General features: G+C 34.8%; 1 protein-coding gene across 4 annotated transcripts in view, besides 1 other annotated feature; it reads left to right on the top strand.

The window, feature by feature from the left end:
* The window catches only part of OLFM3 (olfactomedin 3), a 194,367-nt gene that overhangs the window by 86,592 nt on the left and 95,026 nt on the right, over nt 1–12,749 (top strand). The gene's annotated exons all lie outside the window — the stretch shown is intronic.
* Nucleotides 2,507–3,173: an enhancer, noted in NCBI's record as "OCT4-NANOG hESC enhancer chr1:102372718-102373384 (GRCh37/hg19 assembly coordinates)". NCBI's record gives its function as "activates a minimal SCP1, AML or CMV promoter by ChIP-STARR-seq in naive H9 embryonic stem cells {active_cell/tissue: H9 hESC(naive)}" and the evidence as "EXISTENCE:reporter gene assay evidence [ECO:0000049][PMID:30033119]".

Genomic DNA, 12,749 nt, shown 5'->3' with positions numbered 1-12,749 from the left:
GCTACCACGCCCGGCTAATTTTTTGTATTTTTAGTGGAGACGGGGTTTCAGCGTGTTAGCCAGAATGGTCTCGATCTCCTGACCTTGTGATCCGCCCGCCTCGGCCTCCCAAAGTGCTGGGATTACAGGCGTGAGCGACCGCGCCCGGTCGAGAATGTGCTTTTTAACATGATAGATACTCGATAAACATCTTGTGATGATGAAGAGGATTATTTAACTGTAAAGCTGAAGCTTCTCTGAGACAAGGGATATGAAGAAGCAGAAGGAGGAAAGCAGGAGGAGGAGAATGGAGGGGAAAGGTGAGGAGGAGGAAAAATAACCTTAATATTATAAAGCAAGATGAGATGTGTTCTGGCTATGCTTATGTGGTACCTTGAAGATTATTGGATGAGTCTATAGTTTACCTGGACACCAAGTCTGCCTTGAAAGATAGCGTTTTAGCTCAGGAAATCTTAATATTCTTCAAACCAGTATACACCCTTTTAATTACAAACATTTTTAATGTCCCCAAAAGCAATTATTTCAGAAAATAAATAAATAAACCTGCCAGCCTACACTCAAAATAACATAACTTACCAGCATCAAAATTTAAAAACTCAGTATAACTATCTAACTGTAATATAATTGAGACATATGACAAGTAATTATAATGGAATAATAAGCACTTCAATATTTAAAAGATATAATTAAGTAATTAGATGCTCACACTTATATGCAGAATGACCATAAATGTGAGAGTTTCAAATGAAGATTAATCAAGTGTGTGGTATGGGTAATTTGCATATTGTTGCTAACAAAACACACTAAATTTGTTCATAGACGGTTTTTAAAATAGTGAACTGGTCTTAGTTAAGTTCCAGCCCAAACAGAATATAATCTATCTTCCCCCAATTTACATGATGAATATATTCATGGAAAACTCAGTGTCTATTATAAGCCTGCCCAAATACTTTTCATTTGTACAAAAAATGTTATTTATAGAATCAAATAATTACAAATAGAGTTTTTGCTCATGTGAATGTCTCCTAAAGCATTTGAATGTCTTGAGGAATTCAGGAGATTTTTTGTTTTTTCTATCTGAGGCAGTCCTTAGATCTGCAATACCTGTGGCCTCTGTGTGTGTTAGCCACTCAAGGCCATCAGAATGACTGAGCTGAGTGGTTTCTCAGAGATGTCCAAGTGGCAGCAGAGAAGCCCCAGGGCAGAGTGAGAAATGTATTGTATAACTGAGTGGAGACAGGAAATTCATAGCAACAGCTAAAGAAAGAAGGTAAGCAAAGTGAAGGGGGGACACAAAAATATGAAGGTGGGATATACCTGTATGTTCACTTCCTGTGACTACTGTAACAAATTATCACAAGCTTAGTGGGTTAAAATAACAGAAATTTATTCTTTTATAGTTCTGGAACCAAAAGTCTGCAATCCAGGGGACAGTATGGCCTCTAAACCCTGTAGGGGAAACTTTATTTTTTGGCTCTTCCAGCTTTCTGGTGGCTCCAGGCATTCCTCGGCTTGTGGCAGAATCACTCTAATCTCTGCTTTGGGTCACACTGGCTCCTCCTCTTCTCTGTGTGGCTGCCTCCTTCTATATATCTCTTATATGAACATTTATCACTGGATTTAGGGCCCATCTGGATAATCCAGGATCATTTCATTTCAAGATCTTTCACTTAATTACATCTCCACAGATCCTTTTTCCAAATAAGGTTCCAGGGTCTAGGACATGTACATATCTTTTAGGGGGTCACCACTTAACCCACTTCTATTCCAGGCTGTGGTTTTGTTATGCCTCATTGTGACAACCAGAAACACTCCTACAAATATTCAAAATGCATCTATGTGCGCAGAATTGCTCCATTGAGAACCACCTGGTCTGCCTAGTTTTTCCGTCTACACCTTTCCAATAAAAGGTGTGAAATTTCAAGAGCTTTTAGCACATATAATTTACTCTCCCTCACTGTTTACTAATTTGGTTTGGACTGTTCCTCATAATGCTTTGCCTTTGTTCTTTTAGATATAGACATTTTTTCTGCTATTGACATATGGCATAATCAAGAACAATATGGCTGTTGAGAAAGGATTTAATTCCTCTTACTAAGATGTTATCCCATTTTACTGGTCAAATCACTTAAATTGCCTATGACTCATTTCTCACATCTGTAAAATAAGGATAAAAAGTTTTTTCCTCAGGCATGTGCTATCATTAAACGAAATTATGGAGGCAGATCCATTAGTAACACATAAAACACAATGTAAAAATAAAGTGTATTTGTTACAATTTGAATTGTATCTACATATTTAGTGAGGAAAAAATGCTAAATAGATTCACAAATATTAACTATTATATCTCCATTTAACATTTTTCACAATTAACATATTTTGGGGATGCATATAGATAATAATACGTGAGTAGAGGCTAATAGGTATGTAGACAATTTAATTTGAACTGGAAAAAATTATACGTTTTTTACTATTACTTCCAAGTGTCTGAGTGATTATTTTAAGGGAAATAGAGCTTTCTAAATAATCCAAGTACCTTTCGCCTTTTGCAAAAAAGAATCTTCTGAACTCAAAGTAGGTAACCACGAAATATCCCAGACTGATTAGCGACTTTTGTCTCTTCATTACAAGTTAGCCTTAGAGCAGACAGTATTCAAAAGAGCTTTGGCATTGCAGTAATGCTAATGACATGTAATGTTGAAAACTTTAAAATGAATATTTACAAATGTACAATTTGGAACATACTCTGACATCATCTCCGTCCCCTCTTTGCTATCCCTACCTGGTGTCCTGGGTCGCTTCTGCAATTCTGCTAATTAGCATCACAGAAACAGCTATCAAAGTCAGAGTGTCCTGGTTATTTTTCTCTATAGCCTGCACAGATAAGATCAAGTAAGGTCAAGCTGTCAGCAGGAGTGAGGCAGAGTTTTGAAACCAGTATCCCATTGTCTGCATTTAATACCACCTGGCTCTTCCAGAGCAGAGAATGGCATTGTCATCAAAATGGTTTTGTATATAAATAGTCCCAATAATTGATGAGTGATTGATGTTTGTATATGTGGGTTGTGTATTTTAAACATATTCTCTACAGAGATGAAAACTTAAAATTCCTTTTACTGCATGTAAATGATTATCCAAATATCTCATTAAGTTTATGATTTTATTTGAATCCCATGGCAAAAAAATGCTAAAATCTTTCATTGCTATTGTAATGGAAACCTGGTCTAAGAGCACATGTCATATAGTCACATTTATCTTGTAGCTCAATTTTAATCTTTTTTTATTGTCACAGAGAACAGTTAGAAAATTAAACATTTTAATTTCAAAATTAAGTGCTTATGAAAAATACAAAATGTAAATACGACAAATAATGGTTTATTATCCTAATCAAAGACTTCTCCTAGCTTAGTTTGAGAGTAACATATACATATGTATGCATGCATGTTTGTGTATGTGTGCATATATGTATTCATGTGTGTCATATTTGAAATGCTTGTATGTGAATGATTCATACATGTATGTATAAAATCTGGTCACTGATGATGATAGTCCACTGAATGAGTCTAGCTGTCAGATTTCCAAATGATTGTAGTAGTTTTCCATTTCATTTTAGCTTTTGTCAAGACTGTGTAATCTTCATCTACAGACTGCCGTTGCTTAGGATAAAAGAGTGATACTTGCTCTACATTTGTGGGCACTGGAAAATCTTAGGTTCTTCCATGGTTTTATTGTTTTGTTTTCAAATATGACAGAACTTACTTATAATTATGAAAAGATTACTAAGCTAAAATCAAAGGAACTTAAGTCCTTGACCATTTATCTTTCTAATCATGGAAATCAGTTTAACTTCATTGGGCCATAGTTTTCTTACATGTACAATGAGGGCATTAAAATAAATTATTTCTAAGATAATCTCTTTGGTAACATAAAAGATATGAAATAAAATATGAGAATACTTAAGAGGCAATGCACAGCTGAAAATATTGAGACATACCATTTTTATTCAGATATTTGAATTTTCTCACTGTGTCTAGGCATAAAATTAAACTTAGGTCTGTGTCATTTGTAAACAGATGTTTGTTCCAATTCAATAATTTAGTGATGATATAAGAAATCAGAGTAAAGTATCATCAAACATTAAAAAAAAAACTGGAGCTATAAAAGGCATTTCTCCAAGACTCTAGACTCTGGTTTCTATGGAATTGATTTATTAGTCAAGGAAACATCTTCAGTTTGTGGAGAAAAGGATAGCTATTTCTCTCCTGGCTCCTCAAAAAGAAATCATTCGAAATTCAGCCCTATTACAGCTTTTCTTAAAAAAGGGAAGAGATGTGAGAAAATGAGTTTTCCCTCATCTTCACTGATTGCTAGTGATTTAACCAGATAGTAAAGAGAAAAGAAGCCCATACAAAGTTAATACAATAAGAGTAGATCATTTCCTGGTTGCATTGCTGAGAATTGTGGTTCTCTGCTTCAAGTCAGAGGCAGATTCTTTTGGGTTTTGAGTTATTCTTTCAACTTTAAAGGTAAATTTGGGCCAATCGGTGTGTGTTTTCATAGATCCTTGCTGCTGCCAGTAACTCTGCCTTGAAAACACTGACTGCAGCTGTGATTTCAGGCATTAATGACCAATCACAATTCTGAAAGCCAGTGTTCACAATGTTTAAAGCGCCTTCCCCTTGTGATGTCATCTCAATTTCAGAGGCTTTATTTATTCCCTGGAAACTGGCTGTTAGCTTGATGAGCACTCCCCACTGAGAAATTTACTTTACAACTTCCTTAAATTTACAGTGGAACCCTTACAGAGCAAATTGCAGGCTTTCTCCAAGAAGTAAATAGATCTAAAGTAGAACAACTCTTTTGGCAATATAGCACCAGGATGAGTTAACAGTTTCTCACACCCAGTCTGGATACAGAGTATTAAATTACATTTGGCCTGACTCCATCATTGAGTGTATCTTAAGTGATATTTTTATTCAATAGCTGCTTTTAATGAGATTTTGATGTTTCAGGAAGTTTCATTGAGTCAATTGCAATCCAATGAATGTTTCCGTGTCTTCACATTACTCTCACTGCTTCAAAACTGGGGGAGGTGTTTTCTTGCACAGTTACATTAGAGTTTTGCAATATGGAAAGAGGCATGGTATTGACTGTCCAAGAATGTACACAGAAGTAAGAGTAGCTGATTGAAGACTTACTAATGAAAAACAAAAACTAAAAAATATACAAAATATATGTTCTGATGAGTACACATCTATCAAATCCTTTGTTGCCACAACCTCACTACCAAAACCTTCTTTTAGAAATTTTGGAAAGGTTCGTTTTATCTTACCCTAGAGCAATAATTTTTGACAAATAACTCCTCAGGCCTTACCACTTTCTACCTTCTATTGTGCCCAAAGATTACCAGTTTTGTCTGTCTACCACATGCTGAAAGGGAGTTATCTGAGACATTAGCTGGGCATTGGTTTTGCTGTGACTGTGGGGAGTAGAGGTAAACAGGTGGGAGGAGAATTCATCTCAGCATTTTATGTTTTCTGGATGGCTGTTTTTCATAATTGTAAGAGTTATTCTCAGTGATAGGGAGAAAGTTATTGCCTTGATTTGTTTGCCATCAGTTTTCACCTTCCAGGAAGAAAATCTCTTTGGAAAACAGTCATTTGTCATCATTGAATTGTATTGCTGGCCACCAGCTTTTTGCAATTCTGTTCACAGCTTTGTGTATTGCAGTTTTCATGTATTTATCAACCACTTATTCATGTGTTGAAACAGATTTAGCTTCCCTCCACATATTAAAGGATAAACAATATACTCCAAGTTACTTAAAAGTTAGGTATTGACAAACTCATTCTCATCCACTCTTTCTGTAGAATTATGGACCATGCGTCAGGCTAGCACTAGCAGCTGCATCTTCAGAAATGAAAAATGGAACTTCTCTCTCTTCCTCCACCCTACTAAATGTTACAAATAACTTCTGACTCGTTCCTAAAATAAAGTCAAGATATTTTTTCCTCCTGCCTGACATGATTAGTTTTGGAGTTCTGTTCCAATTTACCCTGACCATATCCTCTCCCATCTTCAATCATTCAAGAACATTTTCTTTTAACTTCTTCCATTTATTTTTTGATGATCTTAAACAGTTTCTTCAAGAAAGTGCGTTATTGTGGGCTATTCAATATAAAGAACTATAACTTGGCAAACTATAAGGATGACTGAGTCAACAAAAAATTCCCTACAATTGCCCATATTCTCTAGTAAATAATAGTTGTTATGGAAAAGGCAAGGTTTGAAAAAGTTTGGTTTTGTTGAAATAAAGGGATACTTTGTTCCTGTATCCAAAGCACTCTGAATAAAAAAGTAATAAAAATTACTTTGTTAATAAATTTAGAGGTGTCCAGTATCATATTAATAAATCAAACACAATCATATTTCCTTATTGTAATCAGTCATTTAAAAATAATAACTAAAAATAATGTATTGCCATGTATAAGTATTATAATGGTAAAAAAATCTTTGTTTCTGCTTAAAATATCACAATGTTTTGTTTCAGTTTTTCAGATACCAAATTTCCTTAAGAAGGACGTGCATTGAAATATATAAAGCTGTATTTTTACAAAATGGTTTCAAGGATTGTTTTTCTTTGATAGGACATGCAGGAAACATAGATTTTAGCAGAATCTGTAAACAAGCAGTTCTTAAGTGTCACTAATCATAAACAAAGTATAAAATAGCAAAAGCAATAAAAACTATATAGCATACAACCTTACTAAAGTCAATATTATAAGCCTTACAAACTCAACAGTTAACATCATGCACGGACTAAAATTTCTGCCTATCTGTGGCTTCAGTTCCTTAGCTCCATGACTGCAGCAACCCCAATTTCCACTCATTTTCCTTGGTATTAAATCTTTCTCTCAGGCAGAACTATGTCTAATTAACCTTTGAATATCCTAAGCTTATCCTAGTGTCATCAGTTTGACATATAAATACTTTTGAAAGAATTAAACTCCTCTCTAATACAGTTCTTTATTCTCTTCTACCTAACAATTGTCTTTGTTCTTGTGTTGCCCAGGCCCTTGCTTATGCCCTGTGCTTTCAATTAGCCACTCTCTTTGGGCTTCCCTTCTGTTCCATTCAGACTGGACTCCAGTGTCAGTCATTTAAAACATATGACAACTCTCACCTTGAAATTTTCTTTTCCCTGCCCTTCTATAATGCTTGTTTCCAAGTCATGAAATTATCTACTATCTTTGTTATCACATTCTGGAAGTACTCACAAAACCACACTAAATACAACACATTAGAAAGCCAAGCTGTCAAGTGGATTTCCACTGCTGCTGGAAAAATCCCTTTTATCCTTCATACAGTGGTGATTCTTCATATTTCAATCCACTCACCCAGCAAGGTGGTCAAGAGTATGGGCTTGGGAGCCAGTCTTAGTTTGATTCACAGATATAACTCTCACAGACAGCCTTGAATAAGTTACATTCTCTAATGATACAATTTCCTACATTTAAAATGGGGGTATTTATAGTACATACTCCATGGAGCTGTTGGAAAGATTAAATGAGATAGTATACGTACGCTGTTAAGCACAGTTCCTGGAAAATAGTAACCCCTAAACAAATAGTAGCTATTTTTAAATTGATTACTGCAGTTAGAACCAACCAAGTGGTGTTTGTTTAACATATCAATTATTTACAGAACTTCCACTTCTTTTCTTTGTACACCTGACTGAGACCATCTTTCTTATAAACATTTCTCTTTTAATGTGTAGTTTTGGTCCCTTGATTATTCTAAATTTCCTAGTTCCTCTTAGTTTCATTTCCATCTTTAATGTCTCCCTCTCTACTACTTAGTTCCTTCCCTTTTGGGTGGCAAACATGCTCAATTTCTTCATTTCCTCTCTGTGATGCTACTATTCCAAGCTTCCACACCATCTGTCCCCCTGTCTTGCTGCCAAGCTTATGGAAATAGATCATATCTTGATGTCACCACTTTCTCAGAAGTACTTACTTCTCAAATTTAACCATTATAATCAGGATTCAGTGTGGACTTATTCTATCGAATAGATCTTTTGAATATTGTTTTGAAATTATTCTCTCCTAACTATGGTTGTCCTTCACCAACCATGCCCTCCTTCTTGCACTCCCTCCCTATTTGGCTTCCACGTCATACAGTCATCATTTACTTCTCTTTTTTTCATAGCTATTTGGAAATTTATTCCTTTTCTATATCTAGTTCTATTTCCCCTTCCTCCTTTCACCTTTCAATAGTAATATCTCTCATCAGAGACAAGTTCTATTTTTAACCCTGTTGCTCTCTAATAATTTCATTCATTCTGAAGTTTTTTTATCTCATCTCCACGCAGATGATTCTTGAATATGAAATTCTTATTATGACCTCACTTCTGAATTTGTAGCTCAAAATTTAAATTGAATGTTTTACCTCTCCACTTTGATTTACCTGTAGCATTTAAATCAAATCAGAAAATATCAATTTATTATACCTATTACTTTTCCACTGACTCTCCTGTTTCTATTGAAGTACCACTGTTCTCCCAGTTGAAATTTAGTCGTCATCTTTAACACCATCCTTTGCAATTGCCCCATAGTCAATTATCTGTCAGGTCTGTAAATCACCATATATTTCTCATGTCCACATTCTTCCCCACTCATACTTCCTTTATTCTAGTTCAGGCTCTTATTAGTCCTTGCTGGACTTTTTCGATAGCCTCCTAGTTGGTATTTCTGCATCTAATCTACTTCCTTTTCCATTTTACGTTTTGCTGACAGTGTCCCCTGTCATCTTGAAAACTTTCAGACTCATTTAAGTCCCGACTCTTATTCCTGTAGCCTTATTCTCTATATCACCGTTCCAGCTCTAAATCTCTATACCCATATGTAAGGACATTCCATGTCCCATGTACAGTACTCATTGTTTCTCAAATGCTTGTCTCATTTGATTGTCTCCACTATTTTCTCTTAGGTTTTTGTCTCCATCTGAAATTCTACTTTGTCCTATATGATTGATAAAATTCTATGTATTCTTCAAGACCCACTCAAATACAATTTTTCTGAAGTCTTCCCTGGTTCTTCCAACAGTATGACAGCTGTTTATTTTGCATGTCCCAAACAATGTAAACTTCTTAGAATGTAAACTTCTTAGAAAACCAGCAGGGGTGCTGGTCTTAGCCAGTAGTAGTCTTAACCAGTTTGTTAAGTGAGGAAATCTCATTTTTCTTTGTAACTCTCATACCATATAGTAGGCTCTGAGGAACAATAATAAATTATATTATTGAAATTGACTTATTACTAGGAATATGATTAAAGATAAATAGAAAGGTCATAGAGAATCCAAAAATATCATAACCAATTATTGCATTTCACTTTACTTTTGAACAGGTTTAACAATTTATTTAAATATAGGCACCCGCTTCTGAAAGGAATTTCTAAATTTGCAGTAAATCTGTAAAGTTAATATTTTAGGATGTTCTCAAAATAGATGCCATTAACCTTTATCCCCAATCCACTTTAGCCACCCATTTTCATGTCTTATTCTGGCCTTGCCACCTCAAATATCCTTTACATCTCAATCATAATATCATATCCCAAATTCAACTCTTTCATATATTTTCTTTACTTTATTTAGCTTTCCAATCCACTAACTCTACCATTTTTTTTCTACTTTATCAGCTCCTTCCTAGATTCACTTCTTTCACTTTTTAGCTCTGACCCCATGATTTGTCCAGGCCAAACACTTTCTTGCCTTTACACTAAATTAGCTTGTCTCTCTTTATCTCCAATAGCCAATTTTCAAACCACTGAATGCCTTCTCTATGCCAGATCATGAGCTGTCATATGAGATCAAATATATGTACAGATTGATATCTCTATTGCTTCAGGGAAGCCTTCCCTTTCCCTTATTCCATCTCATTTTAGCTCAAATATTACTTCCTCTGGGAAAACTTTGTTAATCAAACATGCCAAGGGCTTGCAGGCTCATTAACTACCTTTCTTCTGTGTTCTCATACGAGTCTATCCATAGATTTCATTCATTTCTTCAGAAAAATTTCAGAATATTTTTCAAGTCTGTGTTCATGGACTTGTCTGGATGATTGAACCACAGAAATGAACAAAGCAAACAAACTTCCTGCCATTCTAGAATTTGCATTCTAGTGGGAAACATCAAACATATAAATAAACTCATGAGTACTATTAATATAATGTCAGGCTATGATAAGTGATAGGAAAAGTAATTAGGCAGAATAAGGGAATATCCTATAATATTTCAAGTGAAGATCTTGTAATTTCTTGTGACAATTCAACTTCCACTACCTTACCTATAATTCTAGGGTAATAATATGACAGAAAAGGGTTCCTTAAGAAGTTAAAATTAGAACAAAGAAATAACATTACAAGAAGCTAACATTAGAACAAAGAGCTGACATTAAAACAAAGAATGAAGCTAAATAAGTAACTTATGTGTTAAATGTTAAATTAAAAAATATAAATTTTCCAGTTTAAATTATTTATTTACATATTAAATTTTTAAATGTATTTATTCATTCCATTTTTATTGAAAGTTCAAACAGTTTTGTATTTTTTTACAATTCAAATTATTCTTACATAAGAATGTTTAGAATTTTTTGTCTTTCTAGTTATTTTTGCGAGGAAATTCCTATAGATTGAATTTATGATATAAAAGTTATGCAATTCAAATGTCAAACGTTTACCAGCAACTAACACATGTTAATTGCTATGGTAGGCAATTTCTACACTATCTCCCAAATTCCTTGTATTTATGTCCTTGTGGAATCCTACCTGCTTGAGTGTGGGGGTCCACCTAGTAACTCCCTTTTATGAATAGAATATGCAAAAGTGATAAAATTATGCCTTAAATATTAGTTTCAAAGACACTTTTGCTACAGTCTTGCCCCTCCTCTCCCTCTTTCATCTGCTCTTATTCTCCCTTTTGTTTGCCAGGAGGGAAACAAGCTATCATGTTGTGAGCTTCCCTAGGGAGAGGCCTACATAGCCAGAAACTAAGGGCAGCCTCTGGCCAATAGCCAGTGAAAAAAATGACACCTCAGTCCAACAATCAGTGGAGAACTGAATTCTAGCAATAACCATGTGATTGAGTTTAAAAGCCGATCGTCCCCAATTTGAACCTTCAGATATGATCACAACTCCAGTCTTGACTGTGGACTTGTGAGAGACCTTGAGGTAGAGCCTCCCAGCTGAGCTGTACCCAGATTCCTGGCACGGAAACTGTGAGATAATCAATGTTTGTTGTTTAAAGAAAATAAGTTTTGGGGTACTTTGTTACACAACAATAAATACTTCATATAATTGCTTTTTTTCTGTGTACTGCATGCCACCTGCATAATGAATGAATGAATTGCTGAATAAGTGAATTAAATACATGTTCAAGATTTTGTACTGCTGTCATTCAATTCTGTTTTTTTTGTTTGTTTGTTTGTTTTTGAGACACAGTCTTGCTCTGTCACTCAGGCTGGAGTGCAGTAGCATGATCTTGGCTCACTGCAGCCTCTGCCTCCCAGACTCAAGTGATTCTCATGCCTCAGCCTCCTGAGTAGCTGGGACTACAGGCACATGTCACGATGCCTGACTAATTTTTGTATTTTTAGTAGAGACAGGGTTTCACCATGTTGGCCAGGCTGGTCTCAAACTCTTGGCCCCAAGTAATCCACCCACCTTGGCCTCTCAAAGTGCTGGAATTACAGGCATGAGCGACCATGCCCGGCCTCAATTCTATTTTTTATTTTATGGGAAATGCATACTTGCTGATATAAATTAGTTCCCCAAACTGCTCAAGATTAAATAGAACCCCTTAAACATGGAGAAGTCAGGTCTGAACACCATTTACAGTTATGTTTAACCACCCACTATAATTTCAAAGTTTTGATACACTTCACGATAAAGCTGTATGCGTTTGGAATCCATCAGAAACTAAATCCTCAATCTGCCACTTACTAGTTATATGATGTTGGGTGAGTTGCTCAACCTTACTACATAACCACAGTTTCCTGATCAGTCAAAAGGAGATTATATTACCCAACTCAGATATTCCACTCAATATTATATTCTATATAATGATTGCTCAAAAATAATCAGTTTTTTAAACTCATCCTTCTAAAACTGAAAATATGAGATAACTTCTCCAAAACACTTTTTTTCAGTAAGCTATGGATAATTCTATTGTAGGTAAATATTAAGGAAGGGTGAATTATTTCTTTTAAAAATTTTTCTTATCCCAATTCAAATAAATAAAATAAATGTCTAGAAGGAGAATATAATAAAAATTGCCTTCAGACACATGGTACCTCAAGCTAAGAGTCAATCCTCAGTCAAAACATATTAATTGTTTATATGACTTATAAGAAATTTTGGAAAGTTGCCTTAGAAAAAGGAAGTGTTTTTGTTTGTGATCTTACAAACTGTATTTCTAATAATAATCTTAAAAGTTCTGTTTACTCTAGAAATCATTATTTTCCACTTTGCATCACATGAGTTACTTGGATTATGTTAATCAATATCCTCAGCAATGTATCCCAGATTAAATCAAACCTAGATTTATTTCATATTTTAATGTAGAACAATGTTATTTACTTTTCTAAAAGTTGGTAAATCATAGCTGTTTCTAATATTATATTTAAACATTTAGTGCCATGTTTCATAATGTATGGTTCATTACCCACATGAATTCTTGTGGTTGCAAACTGATTT

This window comes from Homo sapiens, chromosome 1 (genome assembly GCF_000001405.40).
Source record: "Homo sapiens chromosome 1, GRCh38.p14 Primary Assembly".
NCBI lineage: Eukaryota > Metazoa > Chordata > Mammalia > Primates > Hominidae > Homo > Homo sapiens.
The sequence above is the reverse complement of the archived record's forward strand: the minus strand, read 5'-3'. Positions and strand labels throughout refer to the sequence as shown.